Source organism: Homo sapiens, chromosome 2, assembly GCF_000001405.40.
Source record: "Homo sapiens chromosome 2, GRCh38.p14 Primary Assembly".
NCBI classification, from domain to species: domain Eukaryota; kingdom Metazoa; phylum Chordata; class Mammalia; order Primates; family Hominidae; genus Homo; species Homo sapiens.
Window position 1 is genome coordinate 241,760,368 of NC_000002.12, and position 15,948 is coordinate 241,776,315.

General features: G+C 60.2%; 1 protein-coding gene across 7 annotated transcripts in view, besides 4 other annotated features; it reads left to right on the forward strand.

Moving 5' to 3' along the window:
• Positions 1–8,444, forward strand: part of D2HGDH (D-2-hydroxyglutarate dehydrogenase) — a 34,182-nt gene extending 25,738 nt beyond the window's left edge. For all 7 annotated transcript variants that reach the window (NR_109778.2, XM_011511750.4, NM_152783.5 and 4 more), the window contains one exon: positions 7,343–8,444. Coding sequence is in view for 6 of the 7 variants with exons in the window: in NM_152783.5 (NP_689996.4) it covers positions 7,343–7,602 (260 nt within the window). In the remaining variant the exon portion in view is untranslated. The remainder of the gene's footprint in view (positions 1–7,342) is intronic.
• Positions 353–553: a silencer, noted in NCBI's record as "peak4107 fragment used in MPRA reporter construct". NCBI's record gives its function as "represses an SCP1 promoter by STARR-seq MPRAs in K562 erythroleukemia cells {active_cell/tissue: K562}" and the evidence as "EXISTENCE:reporter gene assay evidence [ECO:0000049][PMID:32103011]".
• Positions 3,917–4,530: an enhancer, noted in NCBI's record as "H3K4me1 hESC enhancer chr2:242703699-242704312 (GRCh37/hg19 assembly coordinates)". NCBI's record gives its function as "activates a minimal SCP1, AML or CMV promoter by ChIP-STARR-seq in naive H9 embryonic stem cells {active_cell/tissue: H9 hESC(naive)}" and the evidence as "EXISTENCE:reporter gene assay evidence [ECO:0000049][PMID:30033119]".
• Positions 10,396–11,308: an enhancer, noted in NCBI's record as "H3K27ac-H3K4me1 hESC enhancer chr2:242710178-242711090 (GRCh37/hg19 assembly coordinates)". NCBI's record gives its function as "activates a minimal SCP1, AML or CMV promoter by ChIP-STARR-seq in primed H9 embryonic stem cells {active_cell/tissue: H9 hESC(primed)}" and the evidence as "EXISTENCE:reporter gene assay evidence [ECO:0000049][PMID:30033119]".
• Positions 14,647–15,267: an enhancer, noted in NCBI's record as "H3K4me1 hESC enhancer chr2:242714429-242715049 (GRCh37/hg19 assembly coordinates)". NCBI's record gives its function as "activates a minimal SCP1, AML or CMV promoter by ChIP-STARR-seq in naive H9 embryonic stem cells {active_cell/tissue: H9 hESC(naive)}" and the evidence as "EXISTENCE:reporter gene assay evidence [ECO:0000049][PMID:30033119]".

Below are 15,948 nucleotides of genomic sequence, written 5' to 3' on the forward strand. Positions count from 1 at the left end.
AGTCGAAGGCCTTTGCCACAGCGTGGGTGGGCCTTACCCAATCAGTCGAAGGCTTTTTGCCACAGCGTGGGTGGGCCTTACGCAATCAGTTGAAGGCTTTTTGCCACAGCGTGGGTGGGCCTTACCCAGTCAAAGGCCTTTGCCACAGCGTGGGTGGGCCTTACCCAATCAGTCAAAGGCCTTTGACACAGCGTGGGTGGGCCTTGCCCAATCAGTCGAAGTCCTTCGCCACAGTGTGGGTGGGCCTTACCCAATCAGTCGAAGTCCTTTGCCACAGTGTGGGTGGGCCTTACCCAATCAGTCGAAGGACTTCGACACAGCGTGGGTGGGCCTTACCCAATCAGTCGAAGGCCACAAGAGCAGAAATCTAAGATCTCTTAAGGAAGAGAGGATTCTGACCCAGATGGAGACTCAAGCTGCAGCACCAGCTCCTGCTGGGATCTCCAGCCTGCTGACCTGGACTTCAGATTTTAGACTTAGCTCCCTCAGTCACATGAGTCAGTTCATTAAAATCAGTGTCTGTCATCTCCCTGTGTCTCAGTGTGTCTCTCCATCTTTCTCTCTCTGTTTGTTTCTCTAAATATGTATAATCTCACTCTTGCTCGCACTGTCTGTACACACACATCCTGCTGGTTCTGCCTCTCTGGGAGCCCTGATGGCTGCACAGTGCGAGGACTTCAGGGCCCCGTCACTTTGGCTGTCGTTTACCCCCCAGTTTATGGTGGCCCCTGTATTTGCGGGCTCCACATCTGCAGATTCAACCATAAAAATAACAATACAACAATAAAAAATAAACAAAAGACGATGTAGTATAACAGTGACAGACACAGCATTTCCGTCGTACCAGGAATCGTAAGTAATCTAGAGGTGATTTAAAGTATACAGGAGGGGCCGGGCACAGTGGCTCACGTCTGTAATCCCAGCAATACGGGAGGCCAAAGCGGGTGGATCACCGGAGGTCAGGAGTTCAATACCAGCCTGGCCAACATGGTGACACCCCATCTCTACTAAAAATACAAAAATTAGCCAGGCATGGTGGCGTGTGCCTGTAATCCCAGCTGCTTGGGAGGCTGAGGCAGGAGAATTGCTTGAATCTGGGAGGCGGAGGTTGCAGTGAGGCGAGGTTGTGCCACTTCACTCCAGCCTGGGCAAAAGAGCGAAACTCCGTCTCAAGAAAGAAAAGTATACAGGAGGATGTGTGTAGTTTATATGCAAATCCTATGCCATTTCCTGTCAGAGACTCGAGCATCTCAGGATTTTGATATCCGAGGGGTCCTGTATCCAGTCCCCCAGGGACACTGAGGGGCACCTGCATGCTGTTCGGTGGTGTATTCTGGTTCTGCCTTGTTCAGTCACACATAACCCTGTCACCATGTCACCATCCTGATTCTGCGTAGCCAGTTTGCACACAGCTTCTGCTTGAATCTCAGCCTCCAGAATTTTCCCTGGCATGGAAAAATAGGTGACGGAACAGCTCAGATTTTCTTTGTCTGGAAATGTACTGATTTAGTTGATAAAAATGTCTTTTCCTCAGTGGATTTCCGTGGTTCTGGGTTGACAGTTGCTTCCCAGCAGCAGGAGGGAGTCTCTGTTCTCTCTTCTGATGTCTGCTGGTGCGGAGACAGCCTCAGTTCAGGGCAGTTCCCTTCGGGGGAATGGAGGGAACAGAGGGAAATAAATAATTTCTTTCTTTTTCTTTTCCTTTTTTTTTTTTTTTTTTTTGAGATGGAGTCCCGCTCTGTCACCCAGGCTGGAGTGCAGTGGTGCGATCTTGGCTCACTGCAACGTCCGCCTCCCGGGTTCAGGCGATTCTCCTGCCTCAGCCTCCCGAGCAGCTGGGATTACAGGCGTGTGCCACCACACCCGGCTAATTTTTGCATTTTTAGTAGAGATGGGGTTTCACCATATTGGCCAGGCTGGTCTCGAACTCCTGACCTCGTGATCCACCCGCCTCAGTCTCCCAAAGTGCTGAGATTGCAGGTGTGAGCCACCGCGCCCAGCCTGCTTTTTCCTTTTTGCTGCTTTCAGCTCCTTCCATTGTCTTTGGGGTTCTGCGGTTTCACTCTGGTTTGGCCGGGAGTCGGCCAGATGAGTGTTTGTTTACCTGCCTGTTGGCCGGGTGAGTGTTTACCTGCCTGGCACTTCTTGGGCTTTGGGGTCTTGCTGGCTTTAGAAATTCCTCAGCCACCAGAGCCTCTTCAAACACCGTTTCTCCCCTTCCTCTGTTCTCCTCTTGGAACTCAGTCCAAGCCCCCTTGTTTCTTATCGGCTGCTGCCAGGGTCCCGCCTCTCAGGTTTGGATGCTATTTGCAGTGTCTCCAGCTTGGCGTTCTCTGCCGTGTGTGATCGGCCGTCAGATCTGTCTGCTAAGGTCCACAGGCCAGCCATGATGCATTTCATCTCCGGAAGATTGGCGTGGATATTTAAAAATTGCTTGGTCAGATTTTTTGGTTTTATATTTTTGTCTCTTATTTCTTTACACATGACACGTTTGTGTTCTGTGTCTGGAAATGACAGCGTCTGAGGTGTTTGTGGGTCTGATTCTGACCTTAGCCGTGGTGGTTTGTCTTCTTGTGTGTGTGATTTTTGGCATGAGCTCATATTCGTTAGATTTTTATCTGTAGGAATTATTTGAGGCCTGCAGGGGAGGTGGTTTGCTTCTGCAGTGGGTGGGGAGGGTGAGGGCCTGGGGCCCCGCCCGGAACCTCTTTAATCTCCACATTCTCAGCCTTTGGGACCCGAGGCAGCGTGAGTTCCGGGTGCAGGCCGCCGTTGCTCGGGAATACAGTTGGGTGTTGCTGAATGATGGGGATGCGTCCTGAGAAATGTGTCATTAGGTGGTTTCGTTTTGTGTGAGCATCACGGAGGGCACTCACACCCAGATGGGACAGCCTCTTCCACACCAAGGCTGTGTGGTGTAGCCATTGCCCCTAGGTGACAAACCACAGCTGTCATCCACTTAATGCCGGAAGCAGTTGTGACATAATGCTGAGTATGTGCCTGAACACAAAAGCTAATCCTAGAAAAGGGACCGTAAAAGTATGGTATAAAAGGTAAAAATGCCACACCTGCCTGGGGTGCCCATCACGAGTGGGTCTCGCGGGACTGGAGGTTGCTCTGGCGAGGCAGTGGGTGAGCGTGAGGGGTTGCGAAGGCCTAGGAGATGACCGTACTCTACTCTAGACTTTATAAATGCTGCACACTGAGGCCACACTAAACTGATATTAACAAGTAATTGTGCTACAACATGGTGACATCGTCATTAAGGTGATGGCAGTTTTTCAGCTCCATTTTAATGTTATGGGGCCAGCATCATCTCTGTGGTCCGGGGTTGGGTGAAACGTTGTTATGAAGCGTGACTGTATTCACATACTTTGTGGACGCCAGGCACGTGGCTCACACCTGTAATCTCAGCGCTTTGGGAAGCTGAGGTGGGAGGACTGCTTGAGGTCAGGAGTTCAAGACCAGCCTGGGCAACATGGTGAGACCGGCCCCCCACCCCCGACCACCCGCCGTTTCTACAAAAAAAATAATCAGCCAGGCATGGTGGTACATGCCTGCAGTCCCAGCTACTCAGGAGGCAGAGGTGGGAGGACTGACTGAGCACAGGAGGTTGAAGTGTGAGCCACGATCACTCTACTGCCCTCCGGCCTGGGTGACAGAGGGAGACCCTGTCTCAAAAAAACAAAACCAAATGAACATATTCTGTGGATGTGGTTTTTCTTCTTTCACAACCAGTCCTTCCTGGGCAAGTCCCCGGGCAGGGGATGTGTTCAGCCCTCTCTGGCCTGAGCACGCATCCGTGGGGACTGTGGGAGGGGCGGGGACTGGGGGGCGACGGGGACTGTGGGAGGGGTCCCTGCTGTACTCCCTGCCTGGGGTTTGTTCTCGTAGGGGTGGAGAAATAGTTTTCTGTCTACCCTTTCTAGTTCCCAGCTGGGATGGACCCTGCAGCTACAGACAGATTAACAGGAGAAATAACAGAGGCTCATGACGTGCATGTTTCACGTCTACTTGGGAGTGGCCAGGGAATGAGTGATTCTCAAAGAGCTGGCTGTGAATTCAGGCCCACGTGGCGTCTTCAACAAACAGTCAAATTTTAGGGATGTCACATGACAGGACATGGACTATGAGTCTCCAGGTGGCATCTCGGAGGAGGCAGGGAGCTGGCAGAGGACGGCAGGGCCTGAAGCTGCCTCGACCTTTGTCGGTTCTGGTGGAGGGAGGGGCCTTGCCCTTGTCAGTCATTCCTGTGCCGCTCTGAGGCAGGACCTGAGTTGGGGGAGCTTTCCTTGGATCTGCCGCTTCTCAGTTGCCTTTGTGGGAAAACAGCCCTCACCCCAACATGGCACAGTTTGGGGTGGTGCGTCCTGGTTTGCCTCTGGAGCTCCTCCTCGGTGTGCAGCTCTGCGTTAAAAGCCGCTGTCCTTGTCTGGGCAGCCCTTGAGCTGGTTTCTGGCTCCCTCTCCTGCTGGCCCGGAGGTGGGGCGGGGTCCTCACTTCACTCTGACCCTGGCTGTCCCCAGCCTCTTCTCTGAGCCGTCGCCTTCTTGACCTCTGAGGTCAGAAGAGGAGGTTGTGCGTGGGGCGGGCCAGGGCCAGGGTGTGCTTGGAGAGCTGCTGCCCTGGGGGCTCAGTGTGGGCTAAGTGGACCAGAGAGGAGGCAGCTGGGAGCCAGGACTTTGTCTGCAGTGGGCACTGGCTGGGCAGCTCCAGGGGCGACACCCATGGGGGTGGGGGCGTCCAGATAGAGCTGCCCTGGGCGCCACTGCGGACCCCTCCATCCGACCAGGTGCTGGGGATACAGACTGGAAGACGGTCTGGACTCTTCCAGGTCAGGAGGGAGGCAGTGGCAGGCCATGCGGTAACTCAGGTGGCCGCTCTCTGCCTGGGGAGATGGGAGCCCCGGGCTGAGGGAGTAGGAAGAGGGGGGAGAACTTGGGGAGATGGGAGCCCCGGGCTGAGGGAGTAGGAAGAGGGGGGAGAACTTGGGGAGATGGGAGCCCCGGGCTGAGGGAGTAGGAAGAGGGGGGAGAACTTGGGGAGATGGGAGCCCCGGGCTGAGGGAGTAGGAAGAGGGGGGAGAACTTGGGGAGATGGGAGCCCCGGGCTGAGGGATTAGGAAGAGGGGGGAGAAGTTGGGGAGATGGGAGCCCCGGGCTGAGGGAGTAGGAAGAGGGGGGAGAAGTTGGGGAGATGGGAGCCCCGGGCTGAGGGAGTAGGAAGAGGGGGGAGAAGTTGGGGAGATGGGAGCCCCGGGCTGAGGGAGTAGGAAGAGGGGGGAGAAGTTGGGGAGATGGGAGCCCCGGGCTGAGGGAGTAGGAAGAGGGGGGAGAAGTTGGGGAGATGGGAGCCCCGGGCTGAGGGAGTAGGAAGAGGGGGGAGAAGTTGGGGAGATGGGAGCCCCGGGCTGAGGGAGTAGGAAGAGGGGGGAGAAGGTGGGGAGATGGGAGCCCCGGGCTGAGGGAGTAGGAAGAGGGGGGAGAAGTTGGGGAGATGGGAGCCCCGGGCTGAGGGAGTAGGAAGAGGGGGGAGAAGTTGGGGAGATGGGAGCCCCGGGCTGAGGGAGTAGGAAGAGGGGGGAGAAGTTGGGGAGATGGGAGCCCCGGGCTGAGGGAGTAGGAAGAGGGGGGAGAAGTTGGGGAGATGGGAGCCCCGGGCTGAGGGAGTAGGAAGAGGGGGGAGAACTTGGGGAGATGGGAGCCCCGGGCTGAGTGAGTAGGAAGAGGGGGGAGAACTTGGGGAGATGGGAGCCCCGGGCTGAGGGAGTAGGAAGAGGGGGGAGAAGTTGGGGAGATGGGAGCCCCGGGCTGAGGGAGTAGGAAGAGGGGGGAGAAGTTGGGGAGATGGGAGCCCCGGGCTGAGGGAGTAGGAAGAGGGGGGAGAAGTTGGGGAGATGGGAGCCCCGGGCTGAGGGAGTAGGAAGAGGGGGGAGAAGTTGGGGAGATGGGAGCCCCGGGCTGAGGGAGTAGGAAGAGGGGGGAGAAGGTGGGGAGATGGGAGCCCCGGGCTGAGGGAGTAGGAAGAGGGGGGAGAACTTGGGGAGATGGGAGCCCCGGGCTGAGGGAGTAGGAAGAGGGGGGAGAACTTGGGGAGATGGGAGCCCCGGGCTGAGGGAGTAGGAAGAGGGGGGAGAAGTTGGGGAGATGGGAGCCCCGGGCTGAGGGAGTAGGAAGAGGGGGGAGAAGTTGGGGAGATGGGAGCCCCGGGCTGAGGGAGTAGGAAGAGGGGGGAGAAGTTGGGGAGATGGGAGCCCCGGGCTGAGGGAGTAGGAAGAGGGGGGAGAAGTTGGGGAGATGGGAGCCCCGGGCTGAGGGAGTAGGAAGAGGGGGGAGAAGTTGGGGAGATGGGAGCCCCGGGCTGAGGGAGTAGGAAGAGGGGGGAGAACTTGGGGAGATGGGAGCCCCGGGCTGAGGGAGTAGGAAGAGGGGGGAGAACTTGGGGAGATGGGAGCCCCGGGCTGAGGGAGTAGGAAGAGGGGGGAGAACTTGGGGAGATGGGAGCCCCGGGCTGAGGGAGTAGGAAGAGGGGGGAGAAGTTGGGGAGATGGGAGCCCCGGGCTGAGGGAGTAGGAAGAGGGGGGAGAAGTTGGGGAGATGGGAGCCCCGGGCTGAGGGAGTAGGAAGAGGGGGGAGAAGTTGGGGAGATGGGAGCCCCGGGCTGAGGGAGTAGGAAGAGGGGGGAGAAGTTGGGGAGATGGGAGCCCCGGGCTGAGGGAGTAGGAAGAGGGGGGAGAAGTTGGGGAGATGGGAGCCCCGGGCTGAGGGAGTAGGAAGAGGGGGGAGAAGTTGGGGAGATGGGAGCCCCGGGCTGAGGGAGTAGGAAGAGGGGGGAGAAGTTGGGGAGATGGGAGCCCCGGGCTGAGGGAGTAGGAAGAGGGGGGAGAAGTTGGGGAGATGGGAGCCCCGGGCTGAGGGAGTAGGAAGAGGGGGGAGAAGTTGGGGAGATGGGAGCCCCGGGCTGAGGGAGTAGGAAGAGGGGGGAGAAGTTGGGGAGATGGGAGCCCCGGGCTGAGGGAGTAGGAAGAGGGGGGAGAAGTTGGGGAGATGGGAGCCCCGGGCTGAGGGAGTAGGAAGAGGGGGGAGAAGTTGGGGAGATGGGAGCCCCGGGCTGAGGGAGTAGGAAGAGGGGGGAGAACTTGGGGAGAGAAGCAGGGAGAAGCCAAGGTAGCAGCGGCCCCAGAGGAGGGGTCGGCACGTCCAGGGCGAGTGGCATGAGGGTGAGGCTCAGCCGGGGGTCTCGGGGTTGCTGGGGAGGGGATCTTGGGAGGGGCTGTTGGGGGAGGAGTGGGGTCCTGGGGGCTGCCCTGCCCAGCCTGACCCATGTGCCCTTGTCCCTCCAGGAGATGGTAACCTGCACCTCAATGTGACGGCGGAGGCCTTCAGCCCCTCGCTCCTGGCTGCCCTGGAGCCCCACGTGTACGAGTGGACGGCCGGGCAGCAGGGCAGCGTCAGCGCGGAGCACGGAGTGGGCTTCAGGAAGAGGGACGTCCTGGGCTACAGCAAGCCACCGGGGGCCCTGCAGCTCATGCAGCAGCTCAAGGCCCTGCTGGACCCCAAGGGCATCCTCAACCCCTACAAGACGCTGCCCAGCCAGGCCTGACGGCCACTCCTGCTGCTGCCAAGGCCCACTGGGGGTCGGCGGGTGGCTCTCGGGCGGGGGTGTTGCGGTGGCTCTGAGGGATGAGCCGGCAGTGGGCAGGGGACCAGGCACCTGGTTGAAGGGACTGGGAGCCCGCACTGGGGAACTGCCGGACGCAGGCCCTCGGGCAGGAGCATCTGGCAGAGTGGGGGGCGTGGCAGGCACCCTCCTTTGCAGGGCGAGGTGGGGCCTCTGCAGCCATCCTGGACAGGCCGGGGTGGCGGCAGCTTTGCCCACGTGGAAGCGGGGTGGGTCTCACTTGCGTGGTGGCCCCTGGCCCCATCTTGCCTGCTGCGGCCTGGGGAGCAGGCGCTGGGTGGTGGTTCTGCCTGCTTGCTGCTCGTTCCCCGGGCATGCGTGGGCAGCGGGGGGCATGCGTGGGCAGCAGGGGGCGTGGGCAGCGGGGGCACGGGCAGGACCACGTGGGCCGTGATCGTGGGTTGCCGAGAGGACCTGAGCGCTGCGGCTCTGCTGAATGGAGCCGGGTCCCTCAGGCCGTGGACGCCCTCGGGAGGGGGGTGACTGTGGCTTGTGTCTGGACAGGAATGTGTCATTTCCCACATCTTCTAGAGGGCTGCCAGCTGGGAAGACAGTTATCAGGGCAAGCTGTGCTCTGAGTTTCGGGTTCTGCTCCTACAAAGAACGTGCGGTGCTGCGGGCGAGGGCCCCGGCACGGACAAGGGCCACTGCAGAGTGTGTTTCTGCTCGTCAGCTGCCCTGGGCAGCGGATGGGCTGGGCGATGCAGCTGGATGCACATCTCATTCTGTCATGAATGTCCAGTAAAAATCTGAATTGGTTGCAACCTTCTCTTTGCTTCTGTTACTGGAAAATCATCTTTCAGAGCCCATTGTGAAGGGCCTGTGCATCCCATTCCCACAGCCCCTGGACCACTGGGGCCATAGTGTGGCCGGGCCTGACACTACTGTGACTGTCACTGTGCCTCCTGTCCCCATGCACTGTCTGGTGGCAGCTGAGCTCCCACCGGCTGCACAGGGCAGGCCTGGACATGGAACGGGCAACTCATAACCCTTGGTGGCCCTGGAGGCCCTCAGCAGCTGGGCCTGACCGAGGTGTATCCACGGGCCCCTCCTGTCCCTGTGGGTGTCGAGGACCTCGGATCCTGCTCAGAGGGGGAAACATACCTCTGACCCGCTGCCCTGCAGAGCCCGCCTGCCTAGCCAGGGCCTCTGTGTGGACAGGCCACGTCCTCCTGGTGGAGGTCCTCGGGGGATGGGTGGGGGCCTTGGTCCAGCATGATTTTTTTTTTTTGAGACAGGATCTCACTCTGTCACCCAGGCTGGAGTGCAGGGGTATAGTCACAGCTCAGTGCAGCCTCCACCTCCTGGGCTCAAGTGATCCTCCCACCTCAGCCTCCTGAGTAGCTGGGAGTACAGGTGTGAGCCATCATGCCCAGATAATTTTTTTTTTTTTTTTTGAGACAGAGTCTTGTTCTGTCACCCAGGCTGGAGTGCAGTGGTGCGATCTTGGCTCACTGCAAGTTCCGCCTCCCGGGTTCACGCCATTCTCCTTCCTCAGCCTCCCGAGTAACTGGGACTACAGGTGTCCACCACCGTGCCCGGCTAATTTTTTGTATTTTTAGTAGAGATGGGGTTTCACCTTCTTAGCCAGGATGGTCTTGATCTCCTGACCTCATGATCTGCCCGCCTCGGCCTCCCAAAGTGCTGGGATCACAGGCATGAGCCACCGCACCCGGCCATGCCCAGATAATTTTTAAATTTTTTTTTTTGTAGAGATGAGGTGTCCCTGTGTTGCCCAGGCTGGTCTTGAACTCCTGGCCTCCAGCGGCCTCCCACCTCAGCCTCCCAAAGTGCTGGGATTACAGGCCCGAGCCTCTGCGTCCAGCCGATCCAGCATGCTTTGAAGGCACAAATCAGGGGCACTTTCATGCTGGCCCAGCAGAGCCAGTGGGTCCCGCCCAATGCCTGGGCTACTTCCTGCTGTGCCTGGGGGCACCTGGGGCTGTCCTGCCTCACTGGCCAAGGCCCGGCTCTGTCCCTGGGCTCTGGCCACTGTTCTGCCATCCCAGGCTGGGTACCCATGGGCAGCCCGACAGTATCTGTTGCACAGAGCAGACCCCAGGCCCCATGGGTGCCTGACACGAAGCCCCACAGCGTGTGCCCGCGTCCCCCGAGGTCAGCCGGCGGCTCCTGCCCTTCCCTCTGACCTCTGGTTGGGGGCCGGCCATTTTTCTGCTTGTTCCTCTAGCTCTGCTACTGGGCACATGGTCCGTGCTGGGTAGGCTGCAGGCCAGGGTGAGTTGCTGACCCGCTGACCCTGGCTGTGCACCTGCCCTCCTGCCCTGGGTGGCTGCTGCTGGCCCAGGGGTGACTTGGGGGCTTTCAAGCTTCTGCCCGTGCTGGCCGCACGACCCCACGTCCCACCCTGGGTAGGGACTTGTGATTCTCAGAGCTGGGGTCCGTTGCTTTCCTAAGGACCTCCGGCCCTGGTCGTGGTCTAAATGCTCACTCCTGTTGTTGGAGAGGCCAGCCGGGTGACAGGGAAAAGCCCAGAGCCCCGGGCTTCCCGTGAGGATCTGGGCTCAGCATGGGCTGTGGGGCTGCAGAGGCCTGGCCTTGCCTGCTGAGGGACACCCGCTGGTAGTGCCTGCAGAGGGGGGAGGAGGAATTCCTCCCCCTAGTGCCCTCTGGACCCTGGGAGAGCAAGACCTCTGCATCCACACTGCCTTCCGCTGGGCCTCTGGGGACTGGGGAAGCGGACACAGTCCAGGACTGTTGGAGGAGGAAGAGGCTGCGGCTGCTCTTCCCTGGGGGTCCGGCTCCAGGAGGCTGCGGTGACCGTTGGGCCGGAGCAGGCCAGTGCCGGGCACGTCCTGCCCATGACAGCCCTGCTGCCAGCCGTGGGCACTTGTTCCTGGAGCTCCGTGGCTGGGTCCTGCCGTCTCCGCTGCTGCCCTGCCCTGCCATGTTCACCTCCAGTTTATCCAGCAATGGGGAGAGGGGCTTCTTAGATCCCCCTCAGGCTTTTCTTTTGTGCCTTTAGATATGTGAAATACAACACAGCCAGGCAAAGCAGGTGCCGGTGAGACACCTGGCTGGCCCGAGCTGGCCCGAAGAACTGCCTGTCTGCCATGAGGAAAACCCACACTGCGTGGTGGCTGGGAGGCCAGGAGTTTTCACAAGCCGGAAACCTGTTAGATTTCTCTACCTGACAGCAGGAAAATCTGATGAGACCCGATCGCATCCAGGCAGGCCGTGTTCTCGCAGCCCGCGGGTTAACACAGACTCCGAGTGACTCCGACGCAGGAGAACGCGGCGAATCTGCGTGAGGCAGGCCACCAGCCTTGGTGCCCCGGAGACAGCTCCCCCAACGGCCATGTGACGGCGTTGAGTGTCCGTGGTCAGGTGTGTGTAAGAGACGCGCAGAGAATTCCACGCCGTCCCAACCTCCCAGCCGGAGGCTCTGACGAGGCCTGCAGCCACGCGGAAAGAGCAATGAGGAGCACGTGTGTGGGGAGGAAGGCGGGTTCTGGCCCCGTTCCTTCCGCAGCAGCTCCGGCCTGGCGGGTTCTGACGGAATTCTGCAGCGGCTCCAGCCAGGGTCGTCGGGGCGGGGTGGGTGCTCAGGGGCGGCCTTTGTGTTCGGATTAGAAGCTGGTGATTGTCACATTAAGACCTCTAAGCTGCTGCAATCTGAGAAGATGTTACACAACCAGGGCCCCTGAGCTGAGGCCAAGGAGGGGGCCAGGAGAGTGGTGGGAGGGGCCCCAGGCAGGGCCAGAGCTGCCTGTGTACAGCAGGGGAGAGGGGAGAAGGGGTGGGCCGGGTGGTCTCAGCCCCAGGGAGAGTGGAGTGCCCGCCCCTCCCCTCCCCCAGGACGGCTGGCCCCTGGGAGAGCCCCTGGGGGAGCCAGTTTCCTGTAAGCAGAAGGGCAAGTGGTTGGGACCCAGAGGTGTCTGACAGTTGTGGACTTAGAGCCCAGAGGAAGGGTTTGGGGTTTGGGGCTCCTGGGACGCCGCAGGCCCCTGAGGACGTCCATCAGGATCCTGGCAGTGTGGAGGTGTAGGGTCCAGCCCTACGGGGCTTAGCGGGTGTTTTCCCTGTGTGTGGAGATGAGGGATTGTAATAAATAAAGACACAAGATAAAGAGAGAAAGAGAAAGCAGCTGGGCTCTGGGGACCACTACCATCAAGACGCGGGGACCAGTAGTGGTCCCAGAGGGCTAGGCCCACTGATATTTATTGCATACAAGACAAGGGGGCAGGGTAAGGAGGGTGAATCTTCTCAGTGATTGACAAGGTGAAGTAAGTCATGTGATTACAGGATAGGGGGCCCTTCCCTTTTAGGTAGCCGAAGCAGAGACGGAAGGCAGCAAACGTCAGCATTTTCTTCTCTGCACTTATAAGAAAGATCAAAGACTTTAAGACTTTCACTATTTGTTTTACCGCTATCTGCTACGAACTTCAAAGAGGAACCAGGAGTACAGGAGGAGTATGAAATGCAACAAAGAGTAATATTAAAAGCTAATGATTAATAATGTTTATAATAATGATTGATAATTGTCCATGATCATCTCTATATCTAATTTGTATTATGACTAATCTTATTCCAACTATTTTCTTTATTATACTGAAACAGTTTGTGCCTTCAGTCTCTTGCCTCGGCACCTAGGTACTTTCGCCCACATGGAGGCAGAGGTGACAGGCGTACAGGGCAGTGTGTCTGGACCCAGATGGCAGGCACGTTAACGACCAGTGACCAGGGCTCTGCCCACCTGGCCCGGCGCGTTGGCCCCCCAGCGATGTGGCTTCACGCCGGCTGCTTTCCTGAGCGCTCGGGGTTTAGGTCCTGTTCTGCTGCCTCTGAGCACCTGTGACCTGAAAAGGCCCTACCCTCGGCCTGGGTCCCTTGGGGTGCCACTGACCTTCTGGGACCCTGAAGCTGCCTGTGTGGTAGGCGTGTCCACCCCCACACCCACCCAAACGATGCAGAGGAGTGAAAAATGATTCCTCGAGGAGCTGGTCCAGGGCCGGGCGCGGTGGCTCACACCTGGAATCCCAGCACTTTGAGAGGCCGAGGTGGGAGGATTGCTTGAGCCCAGGAGTTTGAGAAGAGCTTGGGCACACATGGTGAGACTCTGCCTCTACAAAAAATTAAACATAGCCAGGCGTGGTGGCATGCACCTAGAGTTCCAGCTACAGGAGGCTCTTACAGGGGAGGAGGGACAAGCCTGAGCTCAGGAGGTCGAGGCTGTGGGGAGCCCCACGTGACTACACCACTGCACTCCAGCCTGGGTGACAGAGCGAGACCCTCTCTGGAAAAATAAAAAGGAGCTGGTCAGGGAGGCCGAGAGCAAATAGCTGCTAGAATGTGGCGCTGCCTGGGACGGGGAGGGCTGGGGGCCCTTGGGGTGGACCAGGAGCCTGAGTTGAGGGTTAGGGGCAGGTGGAGGGGCTGGGAAGCTCGGGGCTGTCTTAGGAGAGCCCTCCTGACACCTAGGCCCTGGGCCGGGTTCCTCCTGGTGGAACATCACAGACCTGAGCCCTCCCACTCACTTTTCCTTGGACCCCACAGGCAAGGAGCTGGGGCGGCTGTCTGCTCCCAGGCTGAGGCCCCGGGACGGGCCCCTCCTCGCTTTGTTAGCCGGTTAGACCCAGGGCGGGCGCAAGCCCTTGGCAGTGCTCCCCAGCACTGCCCCTTGGACCTCAGGGGTGTGGGGAGGACAGACCAGGGCAGGACCCAGGAGGCCACAAGGGCTGGTGGGGGTCATGGTCCTGGCAGCCCCAGTCAAAGGCTCTGCCCTCCTGCACCCACCCCCAGAGGGGGATCCTCTCGAGGGAGCATGGGCCCTGTCTCCCCACCTGCCCTTCTGGGAGATCAAGAGTTGCTGTGAAGTTTCTAGAACAGTGCCCGGCCTGGCGGACGGGCACGGAGGTGCCTCCTGGGTGTGCCCGGGTGCGGCCTGACAGGGCTGGGGTCCTGTTGGGTTGTGGGCAGGTCCTCAGACGGCCTCCTGGCTCCTGCCTCGCCCCTCCCCACAGGCCCTGTGCCAGCGGCTGTGCAAACAGAGGCCAGGAAGCGAGGTGATGCTCCCTTTGTTTCTGGCAGAGTGTGTGGCACCTGGAGCTACCTTCCGGGTTCCATGGCCCTGGGGCCCTGGGGCCCTGGGGACAGGGAGGGAATGGGATGCACAGCGGCCAGGGGTGTTCAGCGTCACCGGTGGAAGGGGTGAAACCTGTTCTTCCTGGTGGTGAGGGTTTGCCCCTTGACTCCGGAAAGCAGAGACCGTGGAGCAGGGCCCACTTCAAAGCACAGTGCTGGGGGCTGTGGCCTCGGCCCTCTGTGGACGTGGGCGGATGGGTGGCCCTGGACTGGTGAAGGACTGGCCGGGAGTTCTGTAGGGCCCCCACCTCCTGCCAGCGCCCAGCCCACAGTCGACCACTGCCTGCCCGGGGCAGGAGACTTCCTTCCTGCAGCCCCGGACCCGGGATCTGAGACCTAGAAGCTGACTCCATCCTTTGACTGCTCTGTTCTGAGCTAGGCCACCCCTGCCCCTGCCCCGAGGTGGCCCTGGGCTTGCCCGCCCGCCTGCAGTGTCGGCTGAAGAGGGTAACGTGCGTGCGCCCCGGCTGCTCCCGGCTGCTCCCGGCTGCTCCCCGGCTGCTCCCCGCTGCTCCCGGCTGCTCCCCGGCTGCTCCCCGGCTGCTCCCCGCTGCTCCCGGCTGCTCTCGGCTGCTCCCGGCTGCTCCCCAGCTGCTCCCCACCGGCCTTGGGTCTGGTGGGTGTGGCCCTCCTAGTGGGACCAGGCCACACACTGGAGCACATGGGCACGGCAATGCCAATGCCGATGGAGGCGGGTTCCTGGGCATGTGGACCTGTCCCTTACTCGAAGCAGCTGAGGGGCCTCCAGCCAGCCCCGTCCGCACCCCAGGGGTTAGGGCTCTGCCATGGGGGCGTGGGCATCTGCTCTGACAAACAACGTGTGCATTTGATTGGTGTTCCTGAGTCACCGTGGACCAGGCAGGCTGCCAGAGCGGCTGATTCTTAGCGGGGAGCTGGGGCCGGGCAGACACCCTGACTCCCTGGGGCTCCCAGCAGGGCCCCACTGGCAACAGGCAGCCTCCTCCCTCTGGCCGCCGGGCCTCCGTCCCTTTCCCAGCCTGGGGCTGGGACCACCGCTCCACACCACACTGCACTGCCCTTGTCTGCCCCAGCAGGGGGTGAAGGTGGCTGGTGGCTGAGGACCCCCTGCCCAGGCCCACACTTCTTGCTCAGGCCCCATAAGTCACTTGGGATCTGGAGAGCTGGGGACTTTGACCTGGGAGGGAGGCATCTGGTCGTGACCCTCAGGCGTGTGTAGGGAGGTGCCTGGCCGTGACCCTCAGGCGTGTGTCCCTGGCAGGTTGCTCTCCACCGGCCCCACCGTTTGTAACACATGGCTCGGCCAAGGTGATTCTGGGGTAAGGACCCATGAGGCGCCATCTTCTTTGTTCCTAGGCTGAGCCTGTGGTGCCCTGGGCAGGGTGGGTGGAGGAAGCAGCAGGGAGGCTCCTTAATGGTGGAGTGAACACCCACACGGATGTCTCTGGATAGTGGAATGCGGAGGATGCAGGGCACGCCGGTGGAGAGCTGCCCAGCCGTGCCAGCAAGGCCCCGGCATCCCTCCCACCTGCCGTTAGCACCGGGAGCTGCTCTGCTGGCCCCTCCCACAGACTCGGGCTCTGGAGGTCTACAGAGCAGCTGGGAGGGTGATGCCTAGGCGGGGGCGGAGATGCCAGGCCCCTGGGCTGCAGGTGGAGGTAAATGGGGAAGGGAGGCTGGGGGTCTCTGGGCCTTTCGCCAGCAGCCGCCCAGCCCAGGGTCTCTGATGCCAGGGAGGTCCATGTGTGCTCGGCCCCTCCTCTGAGCCCCTCAGCCCAGCCTTGTTTCTGCCTCCATGGCTATGGGGCCTGCACCCATCCGAGCCAGGCACTGGCTAGGGCAGGGAGGCTGCCTTGGGCTGGGGCCAGTCCCGGAATCCAGGCTCAGCTGGCACCGACAGGGAGGGGTTGTGGGAAGGTGACCAGCCGTGTGGAGAGCTTGGCGTCGGAGGGCATGGTGGGCACCAGCGCTGGTGGGATGTGGCGAGGGTGGTGGTGACTCATGGCGCGTGGCCCGTAGCTCTGAGGAGCATTTGCGTTTTCCTGTGGATTCACTGTAGCGCCTGGTCACAATGTTGCAGCATTTCCCTGGCTGCTTGTCTCGGAATTAATATCTATTTCCTGAAAAGAGAAATGAACTTTCTTGCAGTAAAATCTAAACAAATATTTATATTTATTTTCCACCTCC